At 52.4% G+C, this 21,737-nt stretch overlaps 1 protein-coding gene across 12 annotated transcripts in view, besides 2 other annotated features; it reads right to left on the reverse strand.

Moving 5' to 3' along the window:
- The window catches only part of PTPRN2 (protein tyrosine phosphatase receptor type N2), a 1,048,768-nt gene that overhangs the window by 1,009,831 nt on the left and 17,200 nt on the right, over nt 1-21,737 (reverse strand). The window lies entirely within an intron of this gene.
- Nucleotides 1,164-1,972: an enhancer, noted in NCBI's record as "H3K27ac-H3K4me1 hESC enhancer chr7:158342742-158343550 (GRCh37/hg19 assembly coordinates)". NCBI's record gives its function as "activates a minimal SCP1, AML or CMV promoter by ChIP-STARR-seq in naive H9 embryonic stem cells {active_cell/tissue: H9 hESC(naive)}" and the evidence as "EXISTENCE:reporter gene assay evidence [ECO:0000049][PMID:30033119]".
- Nucleotides 5,358-5,558: a silencer, noted in NCBI's record as "peak6883 fragment used in MPRA reporter construct". NCBI's record gives its function as "represses an SCP1 promoter by STARR-seq MPRAs in K562 erythroleukemia cells {active_cell/tissue: K562}" and the evidence as "EXISTENCE:reporter gene assay evidence [ECO:0000049][PMID:32103011]".

Raw genomic sequence — 21,737 nt, forward strand, 5'->3', positions numbered from 1 at the left:
GTCCGTGCCAACAGCCTTTCCCAGGAAAGACCTTCCGGGACCTGCCACCCATCTCCTCCTTGGCAAGACCACCCCAGCCCAGGCACGGCCAACGCCCGGCCCCCGCTTGAGTTGGCCTTGAGCTCCCTCCAAAGAGGAGATGCAGACAGCAGTGCCACCCCAGGGGGGCCGAGGGAGCAGGACTGAGAAGCTGGTTTTCCACAGGTTCTTGTCATCCAAGGCGAGCACAAGCGGGAAAGAATGGGGCTGGAATGTTGGGAGAGAAGGGAGTGTGTGATCAGCATTGTCTGCATAAATGATTCAGGCTTTTTTTAATGAAAGAATCTTATTTTTGAAACTGAAGTTGACATAAAAGCTCCCGAAGTGAATCAGACGGTGGTGGCTTCTCCCCACCATCCACTCGGCAGGGGACAGGGTCTCCACGGGGAGCTGGTCACCCCACGTGGACGCCGTGCCCTGCCTCCTCTGGCGAGCTTTGTGTTCACCGGGCGGATTCTGGCAGACACCGGTCCCCCAGTTGTTGCAGCGAGACTCAGACCCAACCCCTGAACCCCAGGGATGGCGCCTCACTGAGTCCATTGGATCCGCGAAGGGCAAAGGGGCAGCCGTGAATAGGTAAAATTCCCGTAAGCTACGGAGGTTCTGCTGGCTTTGTCTTCTCCTTTGCAAAAGCAAAGTCCTGCGGAGGCTGGGCTTCGCCTGAGCGCTCGCTAGGGTGGAGGAAGCAGCTGTGGGCCTGCAGCCAGGGCTCGCTCCAAACGCTGGAAGCTCCGCCTCCCAGAGGAGATCAGCCCAGGAGTGGGAGTGAAGAACTTCGCTCCATCACAAAGCTCTGAAATACAGATGGCTTCGGAAAACCCCGTGAGAACACCGATTCACTCCTCCTGTGAGATGGGACTGCGTGTCCCCAGAGGGCTGGCAACTGGCCTCCAAGTTTTCCTCTTCCTCTTTCTTCCTCCCAAGAGCCCAATTAAGAACTTCCAGAGTTTAGAAATGACTTGGGTTGATTATGTGTGCATGACGTGACCTCACTAGACCCAGCACGAAAGGGAAGCAGGCCTGGGAGCCCTCCCCCTTGCCCTCGTCCTGGGGTCTGTGCCGCGCCTCGCCGTCCTCCCCTGGAACTCGGGGCTGGGAGAGGTCGGCGTCAGGAAGGACCTCATGGGGCTTTCACACGAGAGCACACATCCTCAGAGCCCCCCAGCCTCGTTCTGAAAATGAAAGACGGAGATAGCCTGTGCTCTGAGGGCTGCGCACCAGGCGTCGGGGTGGAGATTGACTCCTCGAGCTCCTCGGAGCCCCAGCGGGTGCCACTGCCCGCCGGCTGAGCCCACGTCCCGATAGGAAGCCTGGGGCGCTCGCAGGAAGGGTCACGGATGCTGCCCGGCTCCCCACCAGCCTGCCCCTCAGGACATCTCCTGAGGCTGCCACTGGGAAAGAACAAACTTGGGAATCCAAGATGGAGGGCAGCAGGACGCTCCCACATCCCCCACTGGTCACTTTTGGAAGCCATGCACTCGGCCCCAGGGCACTAGGCCTGAGTGCTTTAACACCCAGTTCAGGTGCCTCCCCTAAGACAGGGCTGAGGTCTGGGCAGGGAGAGGGGCTTGCAGGCCCACAGGCCCACTCATGGCTGGCGTGGCCACCCACGGAGTCTAACTGCAATGACTGAGAACACAGGCCTGCCCGAGGCTCCCCGGGACTCAGCCAAAGGCTCCCAGACGCCTCCCAGGTGGTTTGACTTTTGCATCTCTGGGAATTCTTTCAGCCTCTTCGTTTATTCATTTTACTTCCCCTTTACTTGAGGTGGCTTTGTTTTCTTTTCAATGTCTAATCTATTTCTCTCATAGGCGTCGTTAATGGGCTGGGACCTGACTTCCTACTAAGTGTAATTACCTCGTCTTTAAGTGCCCTTTTCAGTTTTTAAATCCTGCTGCTGAAATCCAACACTGGGGAGATGTCGTGAAGCTTTTTTAACTCCATCAGGCGGCCGTCGCGCTTCCCTTCACGCTTTCCTTCACCCCTCCACGGACATCTGGCCCTCATCCCATCCATGAGTGACCCACACAGCACATTTCCAGAACTGGCATTTGTGACAGGACACAGCAGCAAGGAGGCCTGTCCACCAGCAGCGACCGTGAGCACGGGGCCCTTGGAGAAGGAGGGAGGCATCCGCACCAGCTGCTGTGGCAGAACACCAGGGCAGGGCAGCTGCAACAACCGACACTCGCTTTGCACAGCTCTGAGACTGGAGGTCCAAGATCAGGGTGCTGGCACAGCTGGGCTCTGGTGAGGGCCCTATTCCCACTGCGGATGGTCACTGCCTTGCTGTGTCCTCCCATGGTGGGAAGGAGGAGGGCAGCCGGCTCCCTCATGATGCTGTCTCATGGTCTTGCCTCAGAGCCACTCTCGTGACCTCACCCAACCCTAATCACCTCTGGAAGGCCCCGCCTCCTAACCCATCCCATCAGGGTGGGGCTCTAACACATGCATTTGGGGGCCCCAGCTCCTAACCCATCCCATCAGGGGTGGGGTTCTCATGCATGCACTTGGGGGGCCCTGCCTAACCCATTGCATCTGGAGTGGGGCTCTAACACATGCATTTGGGGGGCCCCAGCTCCTAACCCATTGCATCTGGAGTGGGGCTCTAACACATGCATTTGGGGGCCCCAGCTCCTAACCCATCACATCAGGGGTGGGGTTCTAATGCATGCATTTGGGGGGCCCTGCCTCCTAATCCATTACATTGGGGGTAGAGCTCTAACACATGCATTTGGGGGGCCCCAGCTCCTAACCCATTGCATCAGGGTGGGGCTCTAACACATGCATTTGGGGGGCCCCAGCTCCTAACCCATTGCATCTGGAGTGGGGCTCTAACACATGCATTTGGGGGCCCCAGCTCCTAACCCATCACATCAGGGGTGGGGTTCTAATGCATGCATTTGGGGGGCCCTGCCTCCTAACCCATTACATCGGGGGTAGAGCTCTAACACATGCATTTGGGGGGCCCCAGCTCCTAACCCATTGCATCAGGGTGGGGCTCTAACACATGCATTTGGGGGGCCCCAGCTCCTAACCCATTGCATCTGGAGTGGGGCTCTAACACATGCATTTGGGGGCCCCAGCTCCTAACCCATCACATCAGGGGTGGGGTTCTAATGCATGCATTTGGGGGGCCCTGCCTCCTAACCCATTACATCGGGGGTAGAGCTCTAACACATGCATTTGGGGGGCCCCAGCTCCTAACCCATTGCATCAGGGTGGGGCTCTAACACATGCATTTGGGGGGCCCCAGCTCCTAACCCATCACATCAGGGGTAGGGTTCTAATGCATGCATTTGGGGGGCCCTGCCTCCTAACCCATTGCATCAAGGTGGGTCTCTAATGCATGCATTTGAGCCCCCGCCACCGCCTCCTAACCACACCCCATTGGGGTGGGGCTCCAGTACATGCATTTGGGGGGCCCCAGCTCCTAAGTCAGCCTGAGAAGATCAGTGAGAAAGGTGACCATACATTCTGGCAATACATACTGTTTTTTAAAAAATAATTTTTCTCTAGAGACTAGGTCTTACTCTGTAGCCTAGGCTGGAGTGCGGGCTGGAGTGTAGGCTGGAGTGCACTGATGCAATCTCAGCTCACTACAATCTCTTCCTCTCTGGTTCAAGCGATTTTTCTGCCTCAGCCTCCTGAGCTAGGATTACAGGCACCCACCACCATGCCCTGCTAATTTTTCTATTATTGGTAGAGATGGGGTTTCACCATGTTGGCCAGGCTGGTCTCAAACTCCTGACCTCAAGCAATCTGCCCACCTCAGCCTCCCAAAGTTCTGGGATTACAGGTGTGAGACACCGTGCATGGCCCGATACTTTCATAATCAAAAAAGTGTCTACATACACTGACAACAACCAGTAAAGACCACACGTTTTGTGCACTTGACATGTGCATCCAAGGGCTCCTGACACCCCAGAGAAACCCTAGAGAGTGGACACTATCCTCCGTGTCTACACACTCAGGCTTAGGAGTCTGCACCAGCCTCCCTGTCTACACAAACAGGCTTGGGAATCTACATCATCTTTCCCATGTACACACACAGGCTTGAGAGTCTACACCACCCTTCCTGTCTACACCTGCAGGTTTGGGAGCCTAGGCTACCTTCCCTGTATATTTCCACAGACTTGGGAGTCTACACTACCTTCCTGCGTACACACACATGCTTGGGAGTCTACACCACCTTCCCCATGTACACACACAGGCTTGGGAGTCTATACCACCCTTCCTGTCTACACACATACAGGCTTGGGAGTCTACACTACCTTCCCCTATACATGAATAGGCTTTGGAGTCTACACCACATTCCCCATGCATATACACAGGCTTGGGAGTCTACACCACACTCCCTAAGCACACAAAGGCTTGGGAGTCTATACCACACTCCCTGTCTACACCTGTAGGCTTGGGAGTCTACACGACCTTCCCTGTGTATATGCACAGGCTTAGGAGTCTACACCAGCCTCCCCTTATACACACACAGGCTTGGGAGTCTAGACCACCCTCCTTGTCTACACACACACACAGGCTTGGGAGTCTACACCACCTTTCCTGTCTACACCACCTTAACTGTGTACAGACACAGGCTTGGGGGTCTACATCGCCTTCCCTGTCTACACATGCACAGGCTTGGGAATTTATACCACCCTCCTTGTCTACACACAGAGGCTTAGGAGTCTACACCACCTTCCCTGTCTAAATACGCACAGGCTTAGGAGTCTATATCACCCTTCCTGTCTACACGCAGACAGGCCTGGGAGTCTACGCCACCTTCCCTGTCTAAATATGCAGACTTGGGAGTCTATAACACCCTTCCTGTCTATACACAGGCTTGGGAGTCTACACCACCCTTCCTGCATTTGGGGGATCCCAGCTCCTAACACATTGCATCGGGGGGGCTCTAACACATGCATTTGGAGGGCTCCAGCTCCTAACCCAGTGTACACAACTTCCCCATGTACACACATAGGCTTAGGAGTCTACACCACCCTCCCTGTCTAAACACACACAGGCTTGGGAGTCTATACCACATTTCCTCATAGACTTGGGGGTCTACACCAATTTTGCTGTGTAAAGGCACAGGTTTGGGAGTCTACATTGCCTTCCCTGTCTACACACACACAGGCTTGGGAGTCTACAGAACCTTCCTTATATACCCCATCTCTTCTAAAAATACAAAAAATTAGCCGGATGTGGTGGCATGTGCCTGTAGTCCCAGCTACTCAGGAGGCTGAGGCATGAGAATTGCTTGAACCTGGGAGGCGGAGTTGTAGTGAGCTGAGATCGCGCCACTGCACTCCAGCCTGGGCGAAAGAGTGAGACTCCGTCTCAAACAACAACAACAAGAAAAACAGAGACCGAAACCAGAGAGGGTCCTTGTGCAACTTTGTTTTCTGTCCTTGGTCCTGAAACCAGGAGACAATTGGTTGGTTGTTTAGGGCACTGATGATTCTTTACCAGTATGGTAAAGAGGGTAATTGCTCTGGGAGGTGAAAAGTGCGTAAGAATTTTGATCAGTATCTGTCTATCTGCCATCTATCATCTGTCTCATATTGCTTTATCTGTGTTCTCTCTCTCTCTCTCTCCCATTATTTATTTTCTGAGGGTAGAGCCTTGAATACTGGGTTTTAAAGTTCTTGATTGCTCTCAGCTTGTTCTGGGCACAGAGGATTTAAGGAATATTTGAGATTTGAACAAAACTGAAAAAAGACCAACTCTGCTAGTCGCGGCTCTGGCCCCCCTTTTTGGTGGAGGGGGAGTGGGATGTGGGGTTCTTCGGCCCATGCCTGCTGCTGGCCAGGCCCTTCCAAGACGCAGTGGCCTGGGACTATAGGATGTGGCTCCCCCGATCCAGCGCAGGAGCACAGCCCCTCCATGGGCTGTGTCTGGAATGCCGCACATAGCCATCTCTGCCCCAAACAGCAGCCCCCTCTATATGATGGGGTTTTCGCTCCTGCCAGCAGCACAGACAGCCGCCTCACCTCCCCAGCATCCTCCCAGGGAGGCTGAGCCCATCCTCACCCACGACCCGGGGACACGTTTAATTTATCCGGCCCCTCCTCGACTACCAACTCCCCTCACCGGAGATGCCTGCCTGGGCCCTGAATTCTGAGGCTGCCCACAGCAAGCCTGATACAGAGTCACACACCAGATGCACATTACAAAGAGCGTCACAGTGGAATGAGAGGAAAGCCTGTGAGAACAAACGGATCTCCGGTGCTCAGCAGACTGATCTACTGCAAATCACCCCCGACGCAACCACCAACTCCGCCAGAGGAAATCACAAGTTTTCCATCTTCAGCAGCTCTTACGACTGCAAGATCCCACAGCTGCCTTTTGGGGGAGGTTGGGGCTTATGCCTTAGGGCGCCAGTCAGGTCCTTCCAGGAGAAGGCGGCACCAAGCCCAGCGTCGAACGAAGCAGGTCCTTCTCCCTTCACAAGCAGCATCCACGGCTCAGTGGTGCCCCTCGCCCCCACCGCTCTGCCCTGCCTTCCTCGCTGAAACCTCCCAACACTGACGTCACCGGGGTGGGGCAGGAGCAGGAAGAGGCCCATGCTGCCATGTCCCATCCCAACACAGGGGCAGTCCTGCTGCCCTTTCGTTCTCTCCCATTGTGCCCTTGGCAGAAGAATATATTTCCACTCAACTGGCATCTTCCAGCTGTCCCCCAGACCCAGCCTCCCTCAGCTCCCATGGCAGGGTTAGGGGCACAAGCACCGCCCGTCAACCCTTCACAGAAGCTGGCAACAGAGTCAGGAATCTGAAGGGTAAAGGGAGCTCTTCCGCCAACAGGTGGCCGGTGTTGCTTCCCAGCGGGTTCCACCCACTGCCTAGCAGGCCATCTACATGGGGCAGACCACAGAGACAGGCTCCAGCAAGCTCAGGATGATGAAGACACATCCTATCTTCGAGGACCCAGCTCGCAGAGAACAAAATCTGTGAACAATAATCACAACATGGCACACACAACACACGTCCCAAAATAAATCTTCACTAGGTACAGAGTTGGCACCAAATGGCTTTCTCCTACAAAATCAAAACAGCCTTGGAATGTCCTTCTTTACTAGATCAACAGATGGTTGTCATAGATAGATAGATAGATACCTAATAGGATAGACTAGATGACAGATATAGATGATTGATAAATAGCTGATAGACATTGTTAGATGTGAAAGACTATGTTCTATTGATAGATGATGATAGATAATGATAGAGGATAGATATAGATGGGTGATTGATAGGTGGATATAGATGATGGATAGGTAGACGATTGACAGGTAAAGATAGATTAGATAGATAGATAGAGATGATTGATACGTAAAGACAGATTAGATGGGCTGGGCATGGTGGCTTACACCTGTAATCCCAGCATTTTGGGAGGCCGAGGCGGGCAGATCACCTGAGGTCAAGAGTTCAAGACCAGTCTGGGCAACATAGTGAAACTACGTCTCTACTAAAAATACAAAAATTAGCCGGGCATGGTGGCGCATGCCTGTAATCCCAGCTACTCAGGAGGCTGAGGCAGGAGAATCACTTGAACTGGGAGGCGGAAGTTGCAGTGAGCCGAGACCACACCACTGCACTCCAGCCTGGGCGACAGAGCAAAACTCTGTTTCAAAAAAAAAAAAAAAGATAGATTAGAAAGATAAGTTATATAAATAGATGTTTGATAGGTGAATGGAGATGATTCAAAGGTAGATAGGTAGAGGATAGACAGAACAAAACCTGGTCTCCTCCCCTCAGAGAACACTGCAGCTCCCGCGCAGGTCAGACGGCTCCCGGGCAGGTCAGGCGGCTCCCGGGCAGGTCAGGCGGCTCCCGAGCAGGTTGCTCCCACGCAGGTCGCTCCCACGCAGGTCAGGCGGCTCCCGCGCAGGTCGCTCCCACGCAGGTCAGGCAGCTCCCGCGCAGGTCAGACAGCTCCCGGGCAGGTCAGGCGGCTCCCGTGAAGGTCAGGGGGCTCCCGTGCAGGTCGCTCCCACGCAGGTCAGGCGGCTCCCGCGCAGGTCACTCCCACGCAGGTCAGGTGGCTCCCGCACAGGTCAGGCGGCTCCCACGCAGGTCGCTCCCACGCAGGTCGCTCCCACGCAGGTCAGAGGGCTCCCGCGCAGGTCACTCCCAGGCAGGTGGCTCCCGCGCAGGTCAGGCGGCTCCTGTGCAGGTCGCTCCTGGGCAGGTCGCTCCCGCGCAGGGCAGGCGGCTCCCGGGCAGGGCAGGCGGCTCCCACGCAGGTCAGGCGGCTCCCGCGCAGGTCAGGCGGCTCCCACGCAGGTCGCTCCCACGCAGGTCAGAGGGCTCCCGTGCAGGTCACTCCCAGGCAGGTGGCTCCCGCGCAGGTCAGGCGGCTCCTGTGCAGGTCGCTCCTGGGCAGGTCGCTCCCGCGCAGGGCAGGCGGCTCCCGCGCAGGTCAGACGGCTCCCACGCAGGTCAGGCGGCTCCCACGCAGTTTAGGCAGCTCCCGCGCAGGTCAGGCAGCTCCCGTGCAGGTTAGACATCTTTTCTGCCATCATGGGCTCTGATTCCCCAACCTGGTGCCATGGTCCACTCAGTCGCTTCTTGGCCCTGCAGGTACAAGCCAGCCAGTCCACAAAGGTCACGGCCGCCGCTCCGCTCAACCCGTGGCTGGCTGTGCTCGGGTGTGTTTCCTCACCTCTCTCTCTGAAGAGCTGAGAACAGGCCCCTCCTGGCCTACGCTTTCTCATCATGTAGCTGTATTTCTGGGCTCACACCTTTAGAACCCACTGAGATTTCTAAAGCTCCTCCTCTAGTGAGCAACCTGGGATGTTTGTGCTCAAAGAAAACAGCGTTTCCAGAGCACCATGGCGCCTAGAAGTGGGCTGGCCAATGTGGTCAGGAAGGAAGGGTGACTTGGGACCCTCACACTGACTGTGCATGGAAACCCCCGTGGTCCACTCTCCTAGTGAGGCACCTCGCCCTCTTCCCAGCATTCCCAGCAGCACTATTGATAAAGCTCTCCTGGTAAGGCACCTCGCCATCTTCCCAGCAGTAGCTATTGGTTAACTTCATAGACCCCCTTTTAAATAATTCTTTGTATTTTTGTTTTTAGAGACAGGGTCTCACTCTGTTGCCCAGGCTGGAGTGCAGTGGTATCATCATTACTCACTGCAGCCTTGAACTTCTGGGCTTGGGGGATCCTCCTGCCTCAGCCTCCCAAGGAGCTGAGACCACAGGCAAGAGCCACCACACCCCACTAAATTTTTCATTGTTCTGGAGAGACGGGGTCTTGCTATGTTGCCCAGCCTGGTCTTGAACTCCTGGCCTCAAGCAATCCTCCCACCTCAGCCTCCCAAAGTGCTGGGATTACAGGCCTGAGCCACTGCACCCAGGTCTTTTAAAATAATTCTTACATAACAGGTAACTTCAGTCCAGACACAAATACTAAATTAGTAGACTCCAAATGTATTGTTGGATTGTCTCTAGCCTATGGCCATGTTCTCTTCTTTAGATCCTGAGGCCGCAGGGTGCAGCTTTCCATTTGTAAACTGTCCCTGGGGTGCTGCCCCAGGGGGTGCTGAGCAGTGAACACTGCCCAGCTACCAGTTGGTCCCAGGGACATGAAGGCCTGGCACCTGCAGAGCCCAGCGGAGGCAGGGTACCTCCAGCCAATATTTCCAGGCACCTAGAGGCAGGTGTGTCCTCACAAATGGAGCCTGTGAAAAAACAGGTGCAGCAATGAGGGACCCAAAGGTGAGCAGGGAAAGAGTCTCCATAATTTGGCACAGAGAGGAGCAGGATTCTCCTCAGTATTCACGCCAAGCCAGGCAGGTCCTTGCACCTTCTGGATACATCAGTGCTAGACTAAAAAAAAAAAAAAAAAAAAAAAAGCAGTAATCTGGAGTCCTTCCTCTGGGGTGCCACTCAGCTTCTCTGGACAGGAGGCTCTCAGACTGCACACCAAGAGATGAGGCCCAGAAGACAGAGACCTCTCACCTCTTAACACCTCCCCAGGTCTGACCAGGGGTTAATTATGACTGTATGTCATGTTTCCAATGAGGAGGAGCTGGATCCCCGAGGTCTGCAGGCAGCAGGGAGGGGCCACACTGGGGGGTCCAGAGGCCCAGGAAGACTCTCAAACCCAGACCCAGTGAGGCCCTGCCTGGCCCCAGATCCCGACAGAGCAGAGGCCACAAAGTGATGGTTCTCCCGGAGCCCCCAGCAGGAATTCTTCCAGTGCTTGGAGGAGATTCTTCTCTCATGTTTTCTTTGTTCTTCATCACCCCATTTAAAAAGGAATAATAAGAAAAATATTTTGTATAAAAATGAATTTCTATTGCTCTCATTACACAATGTTTTCTTAAAGAGAAGCAAAAAAGAAGAAAATAAAATGCATTCACCACATCCTACTCATACTTCTCAACACTGTAATATTTTAACGATCCATATGAGGTCATACCATATGTACTTTTTTGATACCTGACTTTTTCTTTCTCAGAATGACACACTTCCATCTTTCCAGGCCAATACCCAGCCTGGCAGGACTCCACCATGAGGCACATCCACTTGTTCACCTGCCTCCCTCTTACCGAATATTCGTTCCCAATGCAAATAACGACTGTCCCATCGCAGGGTGCAGAGGAGATAGGCTGTTCACTCAGCCTGAGCAGTTCCTCTTTCTGAGATGTGACCACAGGAGGTGACCGCGGGGATACCTCACCCAGCCAGCTTTTCAGGGCCCCCTCTGAGGCTGCAATCACCCCTGCATCACCTTTTGGCCCCTTCCCTGCCACTCCCTCTCACAGAAGTGATGTCAGTAAAGAATGGACACAGGCTGCCTCCCTCATGACTGGGGTCCTTGGTCCCAGGGACCCTGGAAGGCCTGGAGCAAAGAAGGTCATCTGAGAGGTGAGGCGATGTCAAAGAACAAAATCCTCCCAGCTGTTGTCTCCCCACTTACATATTTTTTTATTGTGGTAAAAATAGAATAAAATGTACCATCTTAATCATTTCTAAATCTTCAGTTCACTAGTGTTAACTATGCACATTGTTCTCCAACAGATCCCCAGAATTTTCTCACCTTCCCAAACTGAAACTCTGTCCCGATTAAACACTGACTCCCCTTTCCCCTGCTCCGTTCCACTTTCTGTTCCTGTGAACTTGATGATTCTAACCACCTCGTATCAAACAGCATTTGTCCTTTTAGGACCGGCTTCTTTCACTCAGCATAATGTATTCAAAGGCCACCCATGGTGTAGCACGCTGAAGACTGGGTAATAAGTCCACCGTGTGGATGGATGGACCACATCTTGCTTACCACTCATCCGTCAGTGGACACTTGGGTGGCTTCTAACCTTCGGTTATTGTGAATAGTGCTGCTATGAGCATGGATGTGCCAATATCTGTCCAGGTCCCTACTTCTGATGGTTTCAGGTATGTATGTACCCAGAAGTGGGCGTGTTTTAACGCTTACCTCATATAGTTTCTGATCATGTGCACGAACACTTAGAGTAATAGGCAAATGTTTTGGCCTCGCTAGGGGACAAATGGGGGGTTTGCTTATTTTACATGAATTGCTGGACTGCTAGGTGAAAGTGGAACTGATATTCTTTGAGACCCTACTAAGTGTCAACATGCAGAGAACACAACGTGTAAGAACGGTGACCACTTGCGCTCCGCGCGCAGGACTGTGCTGGGACCGTGTGGCGGTTCCTCACTGTGTCCCCAGGCAGTCTCACAAGGCAGGTGTGGCCATCGCCTCACCTTCAGCAGAAACCCACCATGAGCAGGGGCACATGGGCGGCACTTTTCATGAAGCCCTTTGAGAACAGACATCAACCATGTGAATGTTACTCCTTAAGTTAGAGCCAAAGATATTTGGTTTGCCAAAAACACATGACTAGAACACTGCATCTTGAACAGCTTTAAAAGAAGGCAGCTGTCCTAACCTGCATCCTCCCAGCAGGGTACAGGTTAAAAAACCTAAAGCAACGCAGCCTTGCATCGAAGAGAAATCTTGTCCATATGTTGTTCCTTCACGTGTGACTGGGCATCGGTTGATTAATCTGATTTTTGTAGTCCATGCATGTCAATAAGGCCCATTCACATGTCAGAATGTGCACAGGGTTATTCTGTTAGTGTGGCAAGAAGGGCAGGGCCTGGGAATCGGGAGCCCTGTTTCTAATTTTAGTGAAGTCTTCCACCCTTGATCTTGATGAATACTTGATCAAGTCAATAAATATCAAAGATTAAGAAAGATTACGTAGATCGGGACATTAGATTACTTAATTCTCATAGTTCCTTGAAGTCAGAATTTCCAATGATTCTAGAAGTAATAACCCCAGTAATTCTCATTACTACTTCAAGGTATTTTTGAAAATTACAATTCTGTAACACCCGTTGCCTTAGAAGTCTCCCCAGGTCTAAGAGATAAACCCCTGCCTGAGAAAATCCCCCTGACAGCTCTTCGGGGGTGTGGGGCTCCTTCTGTAAAGAGGAAAATGCCGCTTCTGCAGGACATGGGTGACCTTGAGCAACTGCATGTTTTCTCACCAAATACAAGGAATTTTTTAAAGAAAAGACCAAATGGTGTTACACACCAGAAGGTTTGGGTGATATTTCAATTTTTTTTATTTTAAAGCAAGTATAAACTTTTTCTGATAATTCATTGGCTTCTGCACTGACTCAGACCTTGATGCTCTAATTGTGGCCTCAAGACTGGCAGCTTTGGCCTCCCCAGGGCTGGTCAGAAATGCAGAATATTGGGTCTAACATACCTCAGAAAATGCACTTTGACATTTAACAATCCTGAATGACTCAAAAGCATAGCACAGGTCTGTGCACAGTCCCTGTGCAAGACAAGACACTTCCGACAGGGGAGATGGCCCGGGCCAACACCAGGACCAAACTCTCACTAGGGGGGACCGTGCCACCCCCCACAGTAGCAGCAGCTCTCCCTACCTCCCATCCCCACTGCCCGTGGCCCTGGAACACCACAATTTGGGTGAAGCATTGCAGCCCAGCAAGCGTGGTCCCCAAGAAGAGGAACACTGAGAGGAAGCTCACTGAGGGCTGAGACACTGAGCTGCAGACCTGCCTCTCTCTCGTGCGAAGAGATTCACAAAGGGGCCAATGAACACATGTCTTTTGAGATCTCATGACCTCCAAGAGAAGTCTCTCTGTCAGGAAATGTCTTAGCTGGAACTGTAACAGAATGCCACAGGTCGGGTGGCCTGGAAACAACAGACCTTGATTTCTCACAGCTCTGAAGGCTGTGAAGTCGGAGAGCAGGGCACCAGGAGACTCGGCATCCCAAGGTCCTGCTTCCTGGATCATAGATGACGCCTTCTCGCCATGGTCTCACTCCATGAAGGGGGCGAGGAAGCTCTCTGGAGCTGCCTTATTAGTGACTGATGAGCTCGAATCCCATCAGGAGCATCCACCTTTGAGACCTTGTCACCTCCCAAAGCCCCCATCTCCTAACACCAGCATGTCAGGAGCTAGGTTTCAACACATGCACTTGCGGGGACAAACACCCAGACCAGAACAGGAAGAGGGCAAATAGCCTTACTCCTCCATCTGCCCTTTACATGAAAAATATAATCGTGGAATCAACTGCGGCAACAGCAGCAGAGGAAATGCAAATCAATGCAGCGAAACCCAGGGCCTGTCAGCATTAAGACACCCATTCCACCTCCCACAAACAAACCCAGTGTTATGTTAAAGTTTCCTATTATTAATAGTCCATTTAGCACTTGAAAGCCACAAGGCTGATTGTGCATGAAGCCCTGTGTGCTTGCTTGGGAGCCTGAAGGAGAGTGTGTTGAGTGATAATGGCGTGAAGGCAAAGCTCTTGGAAGACCGCTGGCCTGAATCATACGTGAAGCCTTGCCACGTCAGGATCAATGACGCTCCCAGGGGCACATACCTCAACAGAATGGGACACAGCTCAACAATCCCATGTATGGACAATGTGAATTAACTAAACAACAAAGCCTTCATCATGCTGAGTGCAGGCCCTTTAAAGACCAGAATGTGTCCCCATCCGTTCCAGCATTAGTGCATGGCAGAGGCCGAGAGCGGAGTGTTTCCCACAGCAAATGTTTCCTGGCCCAGGAAAACCTACATTGAGGGGGCAGGGTGTGGTCCTCCTGGTTTCAGAGAAATCAACCACGGCCACAGCCTCGTCCACATAGAGCCTCTCGAAGCCTTGCACGGACAAAGAAGGTATCTGCTGGTGCAGTGCCACCGAAGAAGAGAGGTCCTACCTGAAACCTCACAGGGAAATTTGTGCCTTCTCCCAAGGCAGGACCACAAGTTTGCAGCTCGAGACCTTGTCCAGGGTCCTAAAATGGCTTCTTGGAAAATATGAAATTGCTGACCGATCCCCAGCATCAACTTCGCCAATAGCCTTGTGCTTCTCGTTCAAAGCAAGAAGTACCCAAGTGGAACGCAGATACGGCACGTCAGTGAGAACAAAAGCATCACAAAATGCAAGTCTTATTACTGCAGCAGTTTGCAAGTTGGCCGTGATGTCTCATAATATGAAGTTTGGGTGAGGCGGTGCCAAAACCCAGCTGGTGCAAGCTAAAAAAATGACCAAGATATAAGGCCGTGGAAATGCAACTTGATTACAACAAACACTTAGTGGAGCTAATCACACAGCATTCAGATGCTCCCAGCCCACCCCGATGGGAGTGTTGGATGAAGAATCCTGCAGCTCTCGCCGGGGACATCTGAACATCCTTGTTAGCTCAGGGCACACCCTCTGCAGAGACTCACAGGCATGTGGCGTGGCAGTACATGAGCACTGATGTGTGAGGGGAGAAGAGAGGGGCCTTCCATCTAGGGGCACAGTCTCCCTCCCTTCCCCTTATCCCTCAGATTGTGAAGAAACAAGTGAGGTCTTTGATTAGATGCCTATTTTTTAGGGAATGGTCTTTTCTGTTTATAGGATCTATGCATAGCATATATTTCTAAGATTGGGGTCATTCCTTACACCTGGATTTGTTCTCCAGTAAGTGGTTAGAACTTGGGCTCTGATGCCACAGTGCCTGGGATGTCTACGAAACACACATCATGACAGCTCCTGCATCAGGGGGCTGCTGGGATGATTAAACAAAATTATACAAAGATGATACAAAGAAAGGGCTAGGGCAGCACTTGCGGGGGGCACAGCCAGCTCTGGATCTGAGTTAACTGTTGCCATACGTCTTGTTAATCACAGGTCTAGGGACTGTCCCGTACCTCCACACAAAGACCTACCTCATTCTTTCCAACAGCTGCAGGATATTCTGTGGTGTGAATATGATATATTTAACTAACCTCTTGCTTATGAAAAATCAAGTTGTTTCAAATGAGTATTATGACAAAAAAAAAGGCAGCAATGAACACGCTTATGCAAACATCTTTGCACATGTGTGCAAGTAAGTTTGTAAGGAAAATTCCTAGAAGTGGGATTTGGGGGTAATAGAATTGTACATTTTGTGATGGATACAGCCAATCGACCTGTGAGCAGCTGAGCTGACTCCCACCTCCATCACCAGGACGTGAGGCTGCCAGGCACCACCCCCATCACCAACACCAGCAAGGCCAGCTGTGCGGCTGCCATCCCAGTGCTCCTGAAGCATGGAACCAACACGAAGCAGCACGGGGCTAGGCAGTTGCCAGGGAGCCAGGAGACGGGTGCATGCCAGGCCCTGGCCCCAGCCCCCAAGCCCCCTGCCCACCCTTCATGCCCCAGGAATACCTGGCTTGACTCCTCACCTTCCACTGCACCCTCCAGCTCCATCTAGACCCTTTCCCTCAGCATGGCAGCTTCACCCACACATGTTTATTTAAAGCACAGGCAAAGAATGCCAGTGGTAAGGCCAGAGGGCGGGCAGCTCAGCACGGCAGACCACAGATCCCTTCTCAGCCCAGGAAATGGCTCTGTGGCCCATATCAGCCAGGAAAATGAAGGGTCACAGACGCCCTGCTGGGAGCTAAAGAGAAATGTGTGCAAATCTAAGGAGAAATGTGCAAGGCTCGTGCCTTCCCTGTGGTGTGTGCCTGCTCTTTAATGAGAGTTGCATTCTCCTGAGGGAGACCCTGCGCAGGCCCTGCCCCACGTAACGGCTTTACACAAACTCTAAAAAGTCATCCCAGCCATGCATGGACCCAGGGATGCTGACACCATTCAGAAAATTGTATTGTGGAGGAAGGCAAGGATGAAACAAACAAGGCATGGAGGCTTCTGCTCTATAAAACTATGAGGTTCCCAGGAACATGACACAGTCCGTGCTACATCAGATCTGAGTATCAGGATCCAGCCGTATTTGACTTTTAGAGCTGCAATCTATACAGGCATATTTGTGGCTACATAAACATAGATTATCAGAATGGAACTAAATATGCAGCTTTTAAATACAACCACACCAAAGGGAACTTTGCAAATTACCGGGAACTTTGCAAATTCCCAGGAACTTTGCAAATTACCTCTCATCCTGAGAGGTGAGACAGAGCCAGCTCTGGGCTGTGGCTGGTCATCTCAACCCCAGGTGCCACAGGCCATCTGGACACCACCTCTGCTGAGCACAAAGGTGGACGTGTCCCCAAAATAGCAGCTTTGCTCAGAATTCCAAACAGGGCCTCAGCTCAATGGTGAGAAATCTTAACTCGGACGGCAAACTTCCCGTCTGGGATCTGCAGGCTTCAACAACTGTCAAAGCACGGGAAAATCCCCAGGAAGAAAGTAAGCAAAGGCACGGTAGACGCCAAGGGTCCAGGAGTCGCCCTCTGTTACTTCATGACTCCAACTTACTTTCTACACACAAGACATAGAAACCATCTCATGCAAGCCCCCCAGGAACCCTGGAGGCAGGCACTGTTCCCGTAGTTACCCGCACGTCTAGAGACTGTCCCACATCTCCAAACACAGATCTGCCTATTGTCTCTGCCAGATGCAGGATATTCTGATGAGGAAACCGAGGCATGGAGCTTCTTAGGAACTTTCCACAGGTCACCTGACACTAAGCCCACAACACTGTCCTCTAAATATTTAGGACACCTATATTTTCCTTTGTGTCAGCCATTTCTCTCCCTTTAAAAATCTCTCCCTGAGATTATGGATAATTTTGATAACTTTGAGAATCAATAAAATTACTCTTTTTATCCACTGACATCAGAAGTGGCCAAGCTTGGCCGGGCGCAGTGGCTAACACCTATAATCCCAGCACTTTGGGAGGCCAAGGTGGGTGGATCACCTGAGGTTAGGAGTTCAAGACCAGCCTCACCAACATGGTGAAGCCCTGTCTTTACTAAAAATACAAAAAATTAACTGGGCGTGGTGGCGGGCACCTGTTATCCCAGGCACTCAGGAGACTGAGGCAGGAGAATTGCTTGAACCCAGGAGGAGGAAATTGCAGTGAGCCAAGATCGCACCATTGCACTCCAGCCTGGGTGACAAGAGCAAAACTGTCTCAAAAAAAAAAAAAGAAGTGGCCAAGCTTTAGCTCCTGAGCAATTCCAGAAGAGACTCAGCCATCGAGCTGACTGTAGCCTCCCGAGGACAAGCTTTGGGAAACAGGCCCCATAGCGGGCACTTGGCAGCCCCGGGCCAGGCATCCTGCCACAAGCACCGCACAAAAGGTACTCTGCAGGTGACTGGGCATTTAAAGGACTAGGGAGCCCTGGACACTTGAAACTGAAGTCCTTTCTCAATTTCTGAATTCCCTCCTCTAAAGGTCTCCATCCTGGATCTTGTTAGAGATGCTATTTTTGCTGTTGGCCACCCTTCGCGGGGTTTGGTAATAAAAGATTGTTAAAGTGGGGTTTTTTTTGTTTTGTTTTGTTTTGTTTGTTTGAGACAGAGTCTCACTCTGTCACCCAGGCTGGAGTGCAGTGGCACAATCTCTGCTCACTGCAACCTCTACCTCCTGAGTTCAAGCAACTCTCCTGCCTCAATGTCCCAAGTAGCTGGGATTATAGGGAGCCGCTACCACACCAAGCAAATTTTTGTATTTTTAGTAGAGATGGTTTCACCATATTGGCCAGGCTGGTCTCAAACTCCTGACCTCAAGTGATCCACCCACCTCAGCCTCCCAAAGTGCTGAGATTATAGGCATGAGCCACCATGCCCAACCAAAAGATTGTTAAAGTTTAAAAAATAAATAAATAAAAGTCTCCAAAGGAGAAAGGATTTTTCATTTTCTTCTTCATTTTTTCTGAAGGGGAGGAAGGTAAGGAGAACAGCTCCCTGTGCTTCTAATTTAAGTATCTACATTTTCACAAGTCCCCATTAACATAGCCAATCCTTAACAAAGGCTAGAATGTGGGACTGATCAAACATTAGAGAAAGCCCCATTGCCCTCACGGGCCACCTGCCTGGCACACACCTGTGTGCACTTCCCACATATTTATGGTGTTTATCCCAGCGTTTGCTGGGCTGGAGAACTGGCCATTCTGTCACTGTGACAAACAGGCCTGACGAGGCCAGCCGTGCCTGCGATTGCATTTTCCACTCTCCAAACAGAATCTATTAGACATGATGCAAGCAGAGATTATTTTTAGGAAGGCTTTTCATTACAGTGATGTGAAATGTCAAGGCTGAGACTCAGCAGGCTCTATGCAGACCTCCGGCTCCCACTCATTAAGTTCCTGCCACGTGCTACGCCCAGGCTGGGCCCTGGACAACACAAGTAGGTCCCCAATTAACAGCCAAGTTAATTAACTGATTGGAAACACAGGGGAAAGCTGTCTTGGGCGGGGACATGGCCCTCGAGGAGCAAGCGGACTGAAGGGGTACGGGCATCGTGCCGAAAGGGGTAGAGACAGCATGGTCAGGGACTCTGCAAGGGGAGAGAACATCAAGCCCAGTGAACACTGGGGGCTGCACCCCCCCACACCTGATGAGGGGCAGAGAAAACCAAATGGTGAACCCCCATCTCACCTCATCCCACCCTTCCTTGCTGCCCAGGTGTGCAAGATGGGGCACGGGCCATCCCAACTCCAAGTCTGGCCTGGACACAGAAATGACCAACGTGCTAACGACAGTCAGAAGCTGATGAGACTCTTATCTTTCCTTTATTAAAAACTCTTTTGCCCAGGTGCAGTGGCTCACATCTGTAATCCCAACACTTTGGGAGGCTGATGCAGGCAGATCACTTGAGGTCACAAGTTCGAGACCAGCCTGGCCAACATGGTGAAACCTCGTATCTACTAAAAATATAAAAATTAGCTGGGTGTGGTGGTACATGCCTGTAGTTCCAGCTACTTGGGAGGCTGAGGCAGGAGAATCGCTTGAGCCCTGGAGGCAAAGGTTGCAGTGAGCCAAGATCACACCACTGCACTCCAGCCTGGGCAAGAGTGAGACTCTGTCTAATAATAATAATAATGTTTTAAATTTTATACCTGCAAACAGTATCTAGCTCAACTTCCTCATTTCAAGAATGGGGAAACTGAGATGCAGAGAAAGGAGATGAACCGCCCAAGCTCACACACAATATAGCGAAGCCAAACTTTTATATGTCACTCCCAGAGGCGGTAGGAACATCACATGCTTCCTTTTGGAGACCTTGGTTTGGAGAAGAAAAAAAAAAAACAGCTTTTAGAGTAGATTTTCTTTTTTTGAACTACTGAGGAAATCTGCAGGAAAAGAGGGTCTTCAAATACTGGGGTAAATCATATGACTGACTTGTATTACACAAAGCTGAGATTTATAACAAATACTCTAAACAACTACTCCTGGAGCAAACAGCTTTCACCTATCACACTTTACAGAAATATTCTTTAAAATAGTGGTTTCTATTTTTTTCTATCTTTTTAATTTCACAGACTAATAATCTTTTTTAACAAACTGGGGTAACCTACATGTAAAGTTGCCAAATCTTTATGTGTGTAACTAAAAATGTTTAAATAAAAAAAAAAACTTTCCTATCACACTTCTTTTAAAAATTACTAACATTAAAAAATATTCCTCCAGGCACAGGATTACACCTGTAATCCCAACACTTCAGGAGGCTAAGGTGGGAGGAACACTTTAGCCCAGGAGTTTGAGGACAGTCTGGTCAACATAGTGAGACCCCATCTCTACAAAAAATACAAAAATTAAGCAGGTGTGAGGGATTAGGCCTGTGGTCCCCGCTCCTGGGGAGGCTGAGACAGGAGAATCACTGGAGCCCAAGGCATGGGAGGCTACAGTGAGCTGTGACTATTTGGCTGCACTCCAGCCTGGGCGACAGAGCAAGAATGTGTTTCAAAACACATATAACTAACTGTACATGTATGTATGTGAAATCTCAGGAATTTAGGTATTTTAAGGGGAATACATCTGACAATAGGAATGCAGCGTTTCCACGGGTTGACTGGCGCTGGCCGTGCCCTGGAGGCTCCTGGCCCAGGGAGGCCCCGTGTCCCTGAGCGAACGCACCGGCTTTGGGTTGTAAACCAGGGAGTTTGGACTTAATTCCCAGAACTCAATCACCACTGAGCGACCTCGAAAAAGATCACGTGGGCCTCACAGGACGAGGGCCAGACCCAGATGCGCCCGCTTGGGCGGACGAGACTCCCTGACACCCTCCCCGGGACGTCACAGCGGAGGAAGGCTAGGAGCTCGCGCACGCCAGGCTGTGGGGCCGAGGGGTCCGGCTCTCAGGGTCCTGCTCTCAGGGTCCTGCTGGGCCCCTCACCAGGAAGAGGGGACACGGAGGCAGCAGCTCCCAGCGGCCTCGAGGGCGCCACTGACAGGAGCGCGGGGCACAAGGCTGCCCAACAAGAACGCGGGGCGCGAGGCCGCCTAACTGACAGGAACGCGGGGCGCGAGGCCGCCTGACAGGAACGCGGGGCGCGAGGCCGCCTGACTGACAGGAACGCGGGGCGCGAGGCCGCCTGACTGACAGGAACGCGGGGCGCGAGGCCGCCTGACTGACAGGAACGCGGGGCGCGAGGCCGCCTGACTGACAGGAACGCGGGGCGCGAGGCCGCCTGACTGACAGGAACGCGGGGCGCGAGGCCGCCTGACAGGAACTCGGGGCGCGAGGCCGCCTGACAGGAGCGCGGGGCGGCGCCCTCCCGGCCTCCCTCAGCCCCGCGCCCTGGCCAGCGGGTGCCGCTCGCAGACGGGGGAGCCCAGAGCCCACGCGCCAAGGCCGCCAGGCCTTTCCTCCCTCGCGTTCCCTCAGGCGCGTCCTCCACCCGTTTCCCCCAGGCAGGGGGAAGCCCCGAGAAGCCGCCGCGCCGGGCTGAGATCGGGCCCCAGGCTCTCCGCGGAGCCGTCTCCAACCCCTGCAGGCCGACCTGGGCAGCCAGGCGGGGAGCGCGCAGCCACAGCCCGCGTTTCCGGGCTCCGTGTCCTTCTGGAGGCCGCTCCTTGGCCATGGGCCCTCGGTCCTCGCCCTGAGCAGCGCGCCGGGGTATAAGGGACGCCCTCAGAGGCCTCCACCCCACACTCCACCGCGCTCTGCCAACCGGGACAAGGTGTTTTGCTGAATAAATAAATTAATACATAATAAAGGCTGCGTCCAACCAGATGAGGACAGAACCGAGCGCCCTCCAGCACCCTCTCCCACCATCCATCCTCACAGACGGACTCTGCACCGTGAGAAAGCGGCTTCGGCAGCTCCGACCCCTCAACTGACGCGTCTCCCCGTGGTGGGTCCCGATCCCCCGGCCGGCTCTGCCACTGAAGCCTCTCCCTGTGTCCTCCGTGCCCCCCGAGTGGCCTGCTAGCCCGCTCTCCCACACAGTCTCCTTGAT

This window comes from Homo sapiens, chromosome 7 (genome assembly GCF_000001405.40).
Source record: "Homo sapiens chromosome 7, GRCh38.p14 Primary Assembly".
Lineage (NCBI taxonomy): Eukaryota > Metazoa > Chordata > Mammalia > Primates > Hominidae > Homo > Homo sapiens.